The sequence below is a fragment of the Homo sapiens genome, chromosome 20 (assembly GCF_000001405.40).
Source record: "Homo sapiens chromosome 20, GRCh38.p14 Primary Assembly".
NCBI lineage: Eukaryota > Metazoa > Chordata > Mammalia > Primates > Hominidae > Homo > Homo sapiens.
In genome coordinates this window covers 54,052,450-54,067,924 of record NC_000020.11, presented here as the reverse complement: position 1 = coordinate 54,067,924, position 15,475 = coordinate 54,052,450, and the positions used below count along the sequence as shown (strand labels likewise).

At 41.8% G+C, this 15,475-nt stretch overlaps 1 protein-coding gene across 19 annotated transcripts in view; it reads left to right on the top strand.

Moving 5' to 3' along the window:
- Positions 1 to 15,475, top strand: part of BCAS1 (brain enriched myelin associated protein 1) — a 127,054-nt gene that overhangs the window by 2,670 nt on the left and 108,909 nt on the right. For 14 of the 19 annotated variants that reach the window (NM_001366297.2, XM_017028111.3, NM_001366295.2 and 11 more), the window contains exons 2-3: positions 9,202 to 9,278; positions 9,771 to 9,840. In NM_001366297.2, the coding sequence (NP_001353226.1) occupies positions 9,207 to 9,278; positions 9,771 to 9,840 (142 nt within the window). In that variant the 5' untranslated portion in view covers positions 9,202 to 9,206. Of the gene's footprint in view, positions 1 to 8,904; positions 8,951 to 9,201; positions 9,279 to 9,770; positions 9,841 to 15,475 lie in introns of those variants that run through there. The other 5 variants (XM_047440569.1, NM_001323347.2, XM_047440567.1 and 2 more) reach the window with 1 other exon arrangement.

Below are 15,475 nucleotides of genomic sequence, written 5' to 3'. Positions count from 1 at the left end.
GTTCTGCTGGGTGTGCCAGCCTGGCCATGTTGGCGTCACCCTCAGCTGAGCAGTGAGGAGGGCCCCTGGGTTACCTACATTCCATTGCATTGATCGAAGGTGTTGCTTGTTTACTTGGTGACTAATTCTGTCACCATTCCACCCTTCAAAACCACCCCCCCTCCCATTCAACAGTCGTCTAGCTGCCTGCTGGTGATGAAGTTTCAGAAGTGCTTTCTCCAGGCCAGCTTGCATGGGGTTTGGCGTTTGGCCTGTTTCCAGGAGGAGGGCCTATTATTAATCTGTAACTACAAGGAGGCGACATGGACCATCAATCACTGTGTAAAAGAGGAGGGATTTGAGGGCAGCTTCCAGGAGGCCAATTCACTCATGGATCAGAACACAGAACTAACTCAATTATAACAATAATAAGATAAATGAATAATATTAGCAATAACTAACGTTTACTCACCTGAGTACTGCCAAGCCCTGGCGCTAAATCCTTACAGTGATTATCAGTGACCCTTCAATTGTTCAATCCTCACTTTATTTGATTTATTTATTTACTTATTGAGAGAGTTTCATTCTGTCGCTCAGGCTGGAGTGCAGCGGTGTGATCTCGGCTCACTGCAACCTCCGCTTCCTGGGTTCAAGCGATTCTCCTGCCTCAGCCTCCCAAGTAGCTGGGATTACAGGCATTGTGCCTCCACATCTGGCTAATTTTTGTATTTTTAGTAGAGACAGGGTTGCGCCATGTTGGCCAGGATGGTCTCAAACACCTGACCTCAAGTGATCCACCCACCTCAGCCTCCCAAACTGCTGGGATTACAGGCATGAGCCACAGCGCCCGGCCTAATCCTCACTTTAGATTGTACCATATATATTCCTTGCCTAGTTATAATTTTCTCATTGCAAGAATGAATATGCAGGAAATATTTTCTATTCCATGTTCTATTATATTACATATAAATATTTCATAAAACTATAACATCACTTATACAGCAGAAGAGACAGTAGAAAGTATGAAAATAGAAAAGTTAAAAGTCTAAACTCTGGACTTGAGTTTGCGAGGGTTAAGTCCTCATTCTCCCACTTACTAGAAGATGATCTGTATTAGTCAGCTTGGGCTGTGGTAACCAAAACACCACAGACTAGGTGGCTTAAACAACAGTCATTTTTGTTTTCTCATAGTTCTGGAGGCTGGAAGTCCAAGATCAAGGTTCTGGCCGATGCATTTCTGGTGAGACCACTCTTTCTGGCTAGCCAACAGCTGCCTTCTTGCTGTGTCCTCACACGGTTGAGAGAGAGACAGAGAGAGCTCTTTGGTGTCTCTTTTTATAATGACACTAATTCTATCAGATCAAGGTCCACCCTTCTGATTTCATTTAGCCTTGATTCCTTAGAGGCCACATTTCCAAATGCAGTCATATTGCACGTTAGGGCTTCAACACGAATCCAACACGAATTTTGGAAGGACACATTTCAATCCATAGCATGATCTTAAGTGAGGAGTTTAAGTTCCCTGGGCTCAGGTTCTGCATCTGTAAAATGGGGACAATAAAAATACCTGCCTCGGCCGGGCCCGGTGGCTCACGCCTGTAATCCCAGCACTTTGGGAGGCCAAGGCGGGCGGATCACGAGGTCAGGAGATCGAGACCATCCTGGCTAACACGGGGAAACCCCGTCTCTACCAAAAATACAAAAAATTAGCCGGGCGTGGTGGCAGGCGCCTGTAGTCCCAGCTACTCGGGAGACTGAGGCAGGAGAATGGTGTGAACCCGGGAGACGGAGCTTGCAGTGAGCCGAAATGGCGCCACTGCACTCCAGCCTGGGCGACAGAGCCAGACTTCGCCTCAAAAAAAAAAAAAGAAAAAAAATACCTGCCTCATCGGGTTCTGATAAGGAAGCTGTGAGTTAACACAGAGAAGCATTCAGAGCAATGGCTGGCATAAGGTAGGCGCTACAAAAATATTAGGTATTACTACTGCTAATGTATGGTCCATTTTATTTACTGCTTATACTAACAGCTTATCTCTATTCCTCAGCTGCTGTGCACCAGCCACCCAGTTATACAACACATGGGCCACACCCTTCTAATCTTCACAGGAGCTCCACGCAAGGAATCTATTATGGTCCTTCCCTCCACCCCTCACTTCTCAGACACGGAGCCAGGGCTTATGCATATGGCCAGGGTGAGCCAGAGGGGAGCCCAGGCAGAGGGCTTGCGCTATTTCACCACCACAGACGAATTTACTCACGTGCTTTTCAGAAATGCAGATCCCTAGGTGACACCTGGCTACAAACACGAGGAGAACATCCCCAAGTCCAGGCACTAGAGCAGGGCCCCTCAATATCAGCACTAGCGACCCTCAGCAAAGCAGACAATTCTTCGCTGGGGGAAGGGGGCGGTCCTTGGCATTGCAGGGTATGTAGCAGCGTCCCCAGCCTCTACCCACCGGATACCAGTGCACGCCCCCCAAAGCTGAACCGTGACTATCAAAACTGCATGCAGGCATTTCCAAATGCCCCTTCGGGGCCAAAATCGCTCCTGACTCCAGAAACGCTGTGCTCCACTTATTGTGAGGGAGAAACAAAGAACAGCATATTTCCAAGGAGAAAACGTTTAGCAAAGCAATGTAAGTCATCGAGGAATAGGACAAGATATCCAAAATATGAAATATAGATATATAGTCCTGGAAAATTGGTACCAAAATAAAATACCCTAAACATTGTAAATATGTTATATATATAGTGTGTGTGAGATAGATAGATAAAGTAGATGATAGATAGATAGATAGATAGATAGATAGATAGATAGATAGATAGATAGATGATAGATAGATACTCATCATAAAGTTGAAATATTGTCAGTCGAACCATCATGAGTTGAGTTTGGGACATCTATATCACTAATAGCTACTAGGTGCTCGCCCTGCCAGGCACTTTCCCATCACATTTACCCCTTCGCACGGTACCACGATGTATCAGGACATGCCACTCAACCTCTCTGTGCTCCGGCTTCTCATAAGACAACTGGGAAAATAAAAGTACCTAACTCAGAGAGTTGTTGGGAGGACCAAGAGAGGCAAATATATGCAAATCAGAACTGCTCAGCACAGAGAAAACACTCTAAATGTGTTTATTATTGCCACCATTATGAATACTGTCATTTTCCACAAGAAAGATACTTTCAGAAGGGTCAAGTGCTTTGCCCAAAGCCTCACGATCGTGGGATTTTACGGATGCCTGTCTCACTCCAGATCTCTTGTTCTCAAGAGGAGAGAGGGGAACCCCAGAGATGCAGGAGAGCGAGACTGCGGAGGGCAGCCTCCACCCACCTCCGGTGGGGCATCTGGGCTTGCTTCTGAATAACCAGCTGGAAAGCCTGCCCTGCCCGCCAGTTCTGGGGGAAGGGAAGCTGGAGGCCCAGGACAGTTCTCTTGATTTGCAAGCTCACGAAACAGTGCGTCAGCAAAGCAGTGCCCCTAGAAGGGTTGTGAGTGTATTCAGGTGCCTGGGTGATGGTGGTCTGTGGACTCCGAAGCCTGAGCTATTCCTCCGTCTGAGAATCCGTGGGTTTGGTTGTCTAGGTCAGGGTAGGCAGCAGCCAGGAGAGTTCTGACCCCAGGAGACACTCACTCACTCACCCCAGAAATATCCAAAACAGGGGCTCTCAGCCATGGAAATCACCTAGAGATCTTGAAAGTACCCCGATGCCCAGCCCCACCCCAGAGAATCTGCTGTCATCAGTTTGGCAGGGGCCTGGGCATGGGGATCTCAGAACTCTGTGGGAGGTTCTCACATGCAGCCCAGTCTGGGCATGGGCCCCCATAACACAGGCAGGAGGCGGGGAAGTGAAGGGGCTTTCTCATCTGAACCTCCACAATCAACCCCCAGTGGCAAAGTGCCAAACCCTCAAACACAAGTCTAATTTCAAAAACAACACCCCTCCACCCACCATAGCTTCGTATGTTTAATGTAAAATAAGGTCATAAAGACAAAACACTCATATAATCAGTTCATGAAAGAAAGGGCATTTTAACACCCCATTCAAACTTTTTCTTTTTCAAAAATGAAAGTTAGCTCTTTCAATTGTACGTTTATCATGAAAAACTCTATCTGATTTATTTTTCTCCTTTTTGAGAAATGGGAGAAAACTATTACAGACAAGAATTACTGTCTGAACTGCCTTGAGCCTCAGTTTTCCCATCTATTAAACGGGGATTTAAAAAAAAGTCTCCACCCAAGTCATTCTGGTTTGCCCAGGGTTTTCCAATTTTAACATAAGAGTCCTGTGTCCTAGAGCATCCTCACTCCTGGAAAAAGCTTGAAGATGGTCACCATCACACTATTTTCTATAGGTGTCTGATCATGAGAATCACTGGGGCATTTGCTAAAAATACAAATTCCAGGGCCCCAAATTGACTTTTCGGTGAGAGGATCACAGGAATCAGAAATGTTGCTGGATTCCTCGGTAGAGTCTCACTACCGGGCACCTGTGGGAGAAACTGGCTTCAAAGAGCAAGGATCATACCCGTGAGAGTCCTACTCATGCTAACTCTTGTGCAGTCCTCTTTATGTGCCAGGCCCTGTTCAGGGCACTTTGCTTATATTCACTGGTTTGACTCCATACCAGCCCCTTGAGATGGAGGCTATAATTATCCCCATTTTTACAGATGAGGAAACTGAGGCCCAGCGAGGCTCAGTGATGCTCAGGGATTCCAAACTCCAGAGCCCACATTCCTATCCTATGTGCTACACTGATGTCTACATAGAGCTTCAGCACTGGGCTGGCATACGGCAAGCTCTCCATACAAGTCATATATGGTTATCATTATTACGAGTTCCAGGACCTTTGGGGCACTGAAGGAGTTGCCATCTTCTTGCCAACTGTGAACAGAAGGCTTCATTGCAAAACATCAAAATGCTTCTTTCAGCCTTCCCAGTTGTTTGGACCTAGTCCTGTAGGCTGAATTCATTTCTGCTAATATTGACATCAGCCAATAGATGGCAGTAACCTTTTGCTTTTGTCCCACCCAGATGAATCCTGTTCTTTAAAAGGTTGATGGACAGGCAGGAGCAATTTCACGACACATGCATTATATCTGCTGGTGGAGAGTGACAATATCTGAATCCAGGTTATCACTGAAAAAGACACGCCATTAGATTTTCCTTCTTTCAGGGCCCTTCACCTTGAAGTGGCCGAGAGGCTACTTAGGGTGTGCAATGATCAGAATAATGTAACCCCAACTCTGTGGGAAGAAAAATCTTCTCTCCTACTTCTGTACACCATGCGTCTTCCAGCACCAAGGTTTTTCATAACCTCAAGTGTTGATTCAAAGTAGCTTTGTTAGGATTGAATTTACATTAAATAGTAAGAGCTTTAAAATAAAGCTTGTAATCCTACTGTTAAAATAATTTTAAAACTTGTTAAAAGCTGAATTTAGATAGAGATACTTTGTGTGTATATATTCTTGCATGTGTATATATGAACGTATGTGTTTGCGCGTATCCTTGACTGAGACATTTAACCTGCGTGCCTCAGTTTCCACACCAGCAAAATTGAAATAATAATACCTCTGTCTTGTTGAATTGCTGCAAAGAGCAAATTAGTTTTACTGCAAATAAAGCTCCTAGAAGTTTCTCAACAGATGGTAAGCACTCACCAAATGTTGTTATTGTTATTACTCTATCATTTCTATGATTTTTTAGAGTTGTTGTCATTGTTTTTATACACAGTAGGCTCAAATCCTGGTAAACTTTCTGTAAAGAGCCAGATAGTAAATATCTTAGGCTTTGCAGGCCATAGGTGTCTGTTGCAACTACTCAGTTCTGCCATTATAGCATGAAAGCCATCATAGACAATATATAAATAAAAGGGCATGACTATCTTCCAGCAAAACTTTATTTATGGATGCCAAAATTTGACTTTCATATAATTTTCATGTGTCACATTCTATGATTCTTCTAATTTTTTTCCAACCATTTATAAATTTAAAACTCATTTTTAGCTCACTGGCCTACTAAAACAGGCAGTGAGCTGAATCCAGCCACCGCTGTTCTTTGCCAACCCTGGTCTTGAGGATTCAATATTATATTATTCATAATGTCCCATTAACAGACAGAAGCGATGATCTGATGCAAGTGTGTGAGTCACGGATTTTATAAATAGAAAATAGCACAAAACAACAAGTGTCCTACATGTTTTAACAGTGCTCAGCTTTATTATGTGGTATGATCAGAAGACATACAAAATCCCCAGATTTGGTTATGTATTAAATTCCTGCAAGAGAACACATGGTGAGATCCATGACCCTTTTTTTGGCCTCCTCAATATCTAATTGCTCAATGCGTCTACTACCAGGGAATAAAAACTCACACCAATGGCGAGAGATCCACAAGAATCCCTGGTGACTCATTGACTCCTTTCAGCCAGAAATCAAAAGTCCTAATTTTTATTCCGAGAGCCACTAGAGCAGATAAGCCAGAAGCTAGGTCTTTGGAGATGGGCTACATTGGAATTACATGTGCAAAAGAACTTTAGGTGGCAAGACAGCAGGCCTTTGGAGTGGCTGCAAGAGTCCTTGTGTAGGGATCAGATATACTAGGAGTCAATTCCTCACTGGATGTTTGCCCTTGGTGGGTCTTGGAGGTTCCATTCCTCCTTTTTAAGGGAAGCTAGTAATATGCAGAACATTCCGGTGGTTAGGAGCACAGCCAGACTGTGTTTGAATCTTGCTCATTAACTGGGTGACCTTTGGAAAATGATTTAACCCCCTCGAGTTTCGGCTACCTCATATGAAGAATGAAATCATGATACCTCTATCTCACAGGAGTGCTATAGGACTACATGAGACAATACAGGTGAAGCACTCCAAAATTAGAGCTTGGAATTGAGAACATGCTAAGTAATGATTTGCTATTATCATCATTATTATTATATATCATACATTATTATAACGAAGCTCTTCAGAGGTTTGGTGATGATGTGGTCATGTACCTAGGTCTGTGCCTCATATGTGAGAGATGCTATCAATCGTTATTCCCTCCATTGACTAACAATAATTAAGCTCCCAGTAAATGCAAACACACTGCTAAGATTAGGAGATACAAAATTGGGTGAAGGTAGACACTGCCTTTGACGTCAGGGTGCTTACAATTTCTTGTGGAAGGGAGACATAAATTAAATATTCAACTTTGCCCTTCACCTATGGGACAATAACCACATTAACAGTCATTTCAGAACCATCCTACCCAGCAGTGCCACAACCTGCCATCTCCCATATGATCCCATCTCACGTAATGTTATTAATTACTTTTATTCGACCAGGCGCAGTGGCTCATGCCTGTAATCCCAACACTTTGGGAGGCCAAGGCGGGTGGATCACATGAGGCCAGGCACTCGAGACCAGTCTGGCCAACATGGTGAAAACCCATCTCTACTAAAAATACAAAAAAAAAAAAAAATAGTCTGGTGTTGTGCCACGCACCTGTTATCCCAGCTACTCAGGAGGCTGAGGCAGGAGAATTGCTTAAACCCAGAAGGCGGAGGTTGCAGTGAGCCGAGATTGCACCACTGCACTCCATCCTGGGCAACAGAGAGAGACTCCGTCTCAAAAAAAAATTACTTTTATTCATAACTTAGAACCCTATGCATTTTTGTTTAATAAGCAGATATGTTTTGCTTAACATGAGCTAGACATTGTTCTAACCACGTCACAAGCATTAACTCATTGGGTCCTTATAGCAGTCTTATGAGGCACAGAGAGGCTAATTAACTCTCCCAAGGACACACAGCTACAAGGGGCAGAGAGAGGATTCATGCCCAGGCAGTCTTGCTCTAGAGTCTGTGGTCATAACCACTGTGCCATGCTGCCTTGAACTATCAGAAACAACCTCGTTTGTGGATTTATTGTTCCTATGTTAACTCTCTCCCTGTGCACCATACTTCAGCTCCATGAAGTCAGAGGGCCTTGCCTGTTTAATTTACAGCTGTAACCCTAGTGCCCAGCCCAGCAACAGGTGCAGAGCTGTGCTCAATAGACACAGTCATACACTGCATAATGATACCTTAGTCAATGATGGACCACATATACTTAGTGGTCACATGACATTATAATACTATGTATTTACTGGACTTTTTCTGTTTCGATATGTTTAGGTACACAAATACTTCCCAGTGTGTCACAATTTCCCAGAGTGTTCAATGTGGTTGCGTGCTGTGCAAGTTAGTGGCCTAGGAACGATAGGTTATACCATACAGCCTAGGAGTGTAGTAGGCTATACTATCTATGATGTTCATACAACCATGAAATCATCTAATGATGCATTTCTCAGAACATTTTCTCGCCCTTAAGTGACACATGACCATATGTGCTAAATCAGTGAAAGCATGAATATATACCCAAGTAAGTATATAATTACAAGCCCTGCTAAATGCTATGAAAAAAAAAAGGCCGTAGTGTAAAAGGTTTTAATAGGGGAATTAATTTAGTTTGAGAATCAGAAAAAAATATTATTATTTCAATTACCCTCATTCTAAAATCCTAATAGCTGTGACTTTAACTAAAAGAGAAAAAAATGCTATCTACACTGAATACACTTTTCATGATGATAAATATTTTCCCCTAGCAATGAAATGCAACTGAAAATTATGACTGCATTTAACTTTAATTCTGTTGAATACATGAGTCCAAAATCTCCTTTCTATTTCCCAAAATAAATATAAGCAATGATATAGTTTGGTTGTGTCTCTACGTAAAATCTTACCTTGAATTGTAATCCTCATAATCCCCACGTCAAGGATGGGACCAGGTGGAGGTAATTGGATCATGGGGGCGGGTTCCTCCACGCTGTTCTCGTGATACTGAGTGAGTCTCGCGAGATCTGATGGTTTTATAAGCATCTGGCATTTCCCCAGCTCGCACTCATTCTTCTGGTGTCCTGTGGAGAGGTGTCTTCTGCCACGATTGTAAGTTTCCTGCGGTCTCCCCAGCCATGCGGAACCATGAGTCAATTCAACCTCTTTTCTTTATAAATTACCCAGTCTCGGGTATTTCTTCATAGCAGTGTGAGAACGGACTAATACAAGCAATTTGTTCTGATCTCAGCTGATGATAATACAGCCATGGGCGGCTTGTCAGGCCTCTGCACCTTAGTAGCACATGTAGCTTCGTTTGGTTTTGATTTCTTTCTCTCTTCCTCTCTTTCTCTCCATTATAGGAGCAATGGGTAACCAAATGAGTGTTCCCCAAAGAGTTGAAGACCAAGAGAATGAACCAGAAGCAGAGACTTACCAGGTAGTGTAGTAACCATTACAGGGGCATCAGCAGAAAAAAAAAAAAAAAAAAAAGAACTTCCTGTATTTGACAAGTGTGTTGACTGAAGTCCTGGCTGCTGATTGATTGTGTCTGTGTGTGCAAGACAGTGGAGCGAGGATAACCTAAAAGGTGTCAGAATCAGCATATTAAATTCGTGCTCCAGCCCTGACTTGACAAATGCCCATTTGAGCCTGGGGTCCCCTCCGTGCGACGGGTCAGAGCTTCCTGTGAGTGTGGGGTCCCCTGAGCTGAGGCACCATGGTGTGCTCTCATAATAACTGGAGTCCACTCTTGGAGTGAGTTATTTTGGTTCTCCAAGGCATGATAGAAAACTGGGGAGTTTCTAGAAACACAGCCTTTAAGTTAAGTTTAATTTTTTGTGAGACACCCTTGTATCTTAGAGGTTCTTCCTTGAGTTCTTCTGATTTTCCCCCGAAGATTTGTCTCACAATGCCACGTGCTCTGTTTCAGGACAACGCGTCTGCTCTGAACGGGGTTCCAGTGGTGGTGTCGACCCACACAGTTCAGCACTTAGAGGAAGGTCAGTGCTACTCTGGGAAGGGCATCTACCCTCTCGTGGGGAAGGGGGGTCTGCAGATGCTGTTTACGGTGAAAAAAAAAAAAAAATGAAAGGGTCGAAGCCGCAGGCTCAGTTTGAAAATACTTGCGTTTGTTCCTTGGGCTACCATGCCCTGGTGGCTTAAGCAACAGAAATGTATTGTCTCACAGTGCTGAAGGCCAAAAGTTCAAAATAAAGTTGTCAGCAGAATTGGTTCCTTCTGCGGGTCATCAGGGAGAACGTGTTCCACGCCCCTCTCATTGGCTTGTAGATATGGCCATCTCCTCCCTGCATCTTCATGTCATCTTCCCTCTATGCATGTCTAAATTTCCCCTTCATCATATGGAAGCAGTCATGTTGGATTAGGGCCCACCCTAATAACCTCATCTTAACTTGATCATCTGCAAAGATCCTGTTTCCAAATAAGGTCACATTCACAGGGGGTTAGGACTTCAGCATCTTTGGGGGCAATATGATTCAGCCATAACAACAGATCTCTTCTGAGTGTGTGTGACAGCTGGAGGAGACTGAGGAGTTACAGCAGATAAGATAAAAGCAATAGAGTGAAAACATGAAGCTTGGCAGACCTAGGTTGCAATCTCTGCCCTGCAGATTACTGGCTGTGTGACCTGGAACAAGGCATCTGCTTTTCTCAGCCTCAGTTTTCTCATCTGTAAAATGGGGATAAAAGTACCTACCTCACAGAATTGCTATCAGGATTAAAGGAGGTTGTTTATTAAACATTTAACATAGTCTCCAGCGATATTTCATATATTCCTTTTCCCCAAATGTGCACAGCCTCTGCCATTATCAGCACTTAGGAATTCCTCAGAAGCTGATAAATTATAAAAGACAACAGAATTGTGTCCACATGAGGGCAGTGTTAAAACTGAGGCATATACTTACCTATTTGACTTTATCCTGGAGTATAAGACTGTATATTCAATGCTTCCAGGGTGGTCAGGCTCTACTATGTGACGGATACATATAAATTATGTAAGAAGAGGTAGTATAGCCCAGTAGTTGAGGGTAAGAATTCTGCAATCAGATTGCTAGCTTTGCCACGTACTAGCTGTGTGACCTTGAGCAAGTTACATAACCTCTCTGAACCTCTGGCTCCTCATCTGTACAGTGGGAATAATGACAGTACTTATAGCATAAGCATCTGATATAATGAAAGCACATATTACAGTGCCTGACTGATAATAAGTGCTCCTATCATTATCATATTATGGTTATGGTTGTTTTCTTTCACATGTAAGATTCTGGGCTTCAGTTTCCTTTCCTGAGTAATGAAGGAGGTATATTACAGCATTGGTTCCAAAGCTTTTAGAATTTCCTAGGGAATGTATTAAAAATTCCATGCCCTAGTCTCATCCCGTAGCTGCTATTCAGAATACCCTAAAGTTGGGGACTGAGAACCTGAACTATTGGGGGCTCTGTAGAAGGTTCTTTTAAAAAAAAATCATAGCTTTAGGGTACAAGTGGTTTTTGGTTACATGGATGTGATTATATAGTGGCAAAGTCTGGGCTTTTAATGTACCTGTCACCTGAGTAGTATACATTGTACCCAATAAGTAACTTTCACCCTCATTCCACTCCCACCCTCCCTTCTTTGGAGTCTCCAATATCCATTATGCTACCCTACGCCCCGGTATACACATGGCTTAGCTCCCACTTTCAAGTGAGAACATGCAGTATTTGGTTTCTGTCCTTAAGTTGCTTCACTTAGGATAATGGCCTCCAGTTCCATCCACGTTGCTGCAAAAGACATTATTTTGTTATTTTTATGGTTGAGTAGTATTCCATGGTGTGTGTGTGTGTGTGTATGTGTATATATATATTCAACACATCCACCACCATACATAGCTACTTTTTTGTTTTTGTTGTAGGGTGTGGTGAGGACCCTTACAATCTACTCTTAGCAAATTTCAAGTAAGCAAAACAGTATTATTAACTTATATTTACCATGCAACTTATTCATCTTATGAGTGAAAGTATGTACCTTTTGACCAAAATTTTCCCTGGACCTTAGCCCCTGATAATCACCATTTTACTCTCTGCTTCTATGAATTCAACTTTTTTAGATTCCACATAAAAGTGAGATCATATAGTATTTGTCTTTCTGTGTCTAGCTTATTTCACTTATCCTAAAGTCCTCCAGGTTCATCCATGTTGTTTCAAATGCCAATATTTCCTTCTTTTGTATGATTGAATAACTATTCTGTTGTGTGTGTGTATTTACACACATGTATATGTATATGTGTGTGTCCATATATATATTTCCTTTTTCCATTCATCCACTGATGGACACATAGGTCATTCCCATATCTTGGCTATTGTGAATAATGCTGCAATGAACCTGGGGCTACAGCTACCACTTTGAGACCCTTCTTTCACTTTTTTAGATATACCCAGAAGTGGATTGCTGAATCATATGGTAGTTGATATGGTTTTGCTCTGTGTCCCCACCCAAATCTCATTTTTAATTGTACTCCCATAATTCCCATGTGTTGTGGGAGGGACCCAGTGGGAGATAATTTTAATCATGGGGGCAGTTTCCCCCATACTGTTTTCATGGTAGTGAATAAGTCTCATGAGATCTGATGGTTTTATCGGAGGTTTCCACTTTTGCATCATCCTCATTTTCTCTTGCCACCACCATGTAAGAAGTACCTTTCACCTCCCGCCATGATTCTGAGGCCTCCCCAGCCATATGGATCTGTAAGTCCAATTCAACCTCTTTTTCTTCCTAGTCTCAGATATGTCTTTATCAGCAGTGTGAAAAACAGACTAATATAGTAGTTTTATTTTTTAACTTTCTTAGGAACTTCCATACTATTTCCCATAATGACTACGCCAGTTTACATTCTCATTTTGTCCCAATTTTTAATCGGGTTGTTTGTTTTCAATTATCTTCTTATGTTTAATATGGAGTGCAAGGGCAAGGAATGAATAGGGAAAAATTGTTGGGATTGAGAAAGCCTCTTCTCTATCCTTCTCTCCATCCTCCATCTCACTTTCTCTTTTCTTTCCTCTCTCACCTGTAATATATTTATGTTTTTTATATATTATGCATGTGTGTTAACATATATGAGATACACATATGCATAGGTATATCTCATATATGTGTATGTCTCACATACATGTATGCACATATTTGAGATATACATATATATATGCATATTTCATATATATGTATGTATATTACAAAGATGTTCCCAAAAGGAGGGAAATAGGTTTCTCTTGAAACGTAGGACAACAGTCTGAGACAGCAGTTGCCGTGTGAACACCTGCACATGACGAGGGAAAAGAAACACACATTTCTGAGTCATGGGTTATTTGTACCTCGCCCTCACACCTGGCAGTCTTGCTGTCAACATCCTCAGCTACTGCTGGAGAGTTTGTAAAGAGTCCCAGTTAATCCCGAGGTAGCAATTTTGCCTGTTATTCATTGACATCTTCAACCTGTGAAACTTGCTTTAGAGTGATTACCCCTTTTAAGCTTATTGTTGTCCTCATGCAGTTTTCCTAAGGTTATTAGCTAAGTTATAATTTTCAGTGCAGTTTTAAGGGGTATAAAAGTGAAATTCTGGGTGACCCTTTCTTGTCCTTCAGAGAGAATTATTTGACCATGTCTTTTGATGCACATTTCTATTGATCTCTATTGGTGTATACATATATGTATAGAGGTATAGAAAAGTCATTGGAAAAATATGTAAATAGAAATCTAGTTGACTGTTTGGTTTCTTTTTATCTATACTTTTCCTACTTACAAAAATTACAATTAAAACAATTCATTGGTGATACGGTTTGGCTCTGTCCCCACCCAAATCTCATCTTGAACTGTAGCTCCCATAATCCCCACGTGTCATGGGAGGGACCCAGTAGGAGGTAATTGAATCATAGGGGCATGTTTTTCCCATGCTGTTCTCATGATAGTGAATAAGTCTCACGAGATTTGATGGTTTTATAAAAGGGAGTTCCACTGCATATGCTCTCTTGCCTGCTGCCATGTAAGACATCCCTTTGCTCTTCCTTCGTCATCTGCCATGATTGTGAGGTCTCCCCAGCCATGTGGAGCTGTAAGTCCATTAAACCTCTTTCCTTTATAAATTACCCAGTCTCAGGTATGTCTTTATTAGTAGCCTGAGAACAGACTAATACCATTGGCATCCAATAATATTTCCTATGAAGGCTTATTTAGAAGCAGCAATGGTACCATGGCTAAGCAAACAGCCAAAGAGGCTGGAATGCTACATTGAATCATGGCTCCAATATGTGAGCTTGGGCAGGTTTCTGAGCTTCTTTGTTCTGTCATCTGTAAAATGGGAATTATAATAATGATAGGACCAAAGCTTCTAAGTTATTGTACGGTTTAAATAAGTTGATACTCCTAAAACTCTCAGAACAGTGTCTGGCATGTGGTAAACACATAAGGAAAGTTATTCTGTCTTGGATTTAATGTCAATTGACATAAAGACTGCCATTGCTATTTGAAGTTAACTGTATTATTTCTGCCTAACATATCTTTTGGAACTTTAAGATCAAAAGTTAAAACTAGTCTTTCCTACATCCCTTATGCCTTGTAAGTCTTTTATTTGTCTTTCGATACAATGTGAGAGATATCAATCAGGGAAAATACCTCTTTTAAACTAAAACATGAAATTACATTCTGTATCCTCCTAGAAAGAAATGTATCGTGTAGAGTGCTTTTTCTTAGTAAGAGCAAACCACCATGGGAATTTGATATCAAACAAACATTAAGTAATACAATCCATGTGGATTGGAGATCTTTCTCAAAAGTTTGGTATTATTATTCATCTTAAGTAACAATATATTAAAAAATCAAAATGTCTCAGTTTTTGCTTATGTTATATTTCTAGCTTAACTCACCAATTTTAGATGTTATTTGAGTGTCCCGTTTTGGAGTAGGTTGCTAATGATGTTAAAACAACATACCATGTGATTTACCTGCAATGCCACTAAGACAAACACATTTGCTTGCAAACTTTGGGTGAGAGGCTTATGTGCTTGTTCTGCCAAAATGCAATTGTTTAAATTAGTATCCTCAATTTGTCTCCATCCTTTTCAAATAGTTGTTTTATTTGAACCCAAAAATATCTTGAGAATTATTAGAGCAAAATATCTATCATTAGAAGAACGGATAATCCAATTAGGGTATATCCGTACAATGGTCTCGTAATCTGTTTGTACTGCTATAACAAAATGCCATAGATCTGGTAATTTATAAAAAGTAGAAATTTTTTTCTCTTAGTTCTAGAGGCTGGGAAGTCCAGGATCAAAGCACCAGCAGGTTCAGTGTCTGGTGAGGGCCCTGTTCTCTACTTCCAAGATGGCGCCTTGCTGTGCCCACCAGAGGGGAGGAATGCTGTGTCCTCAGATGGCAGACACGACAGAAGGGCAGGAAAGGGACTAACTAGTTCCCTCAAGTCCGTTTATAAAGTCTATAATTCCATTTATGTGGTCTTTGCCCTCTAAACTCAATCACCTCCTTAAGGCCTCACCTCTTAATATGATCACATGGTAACTAAGTTTCAACATATGAATTTTGGGGGACACATTCAGGCTATAGCAGATGGTATACTCCTTAGCA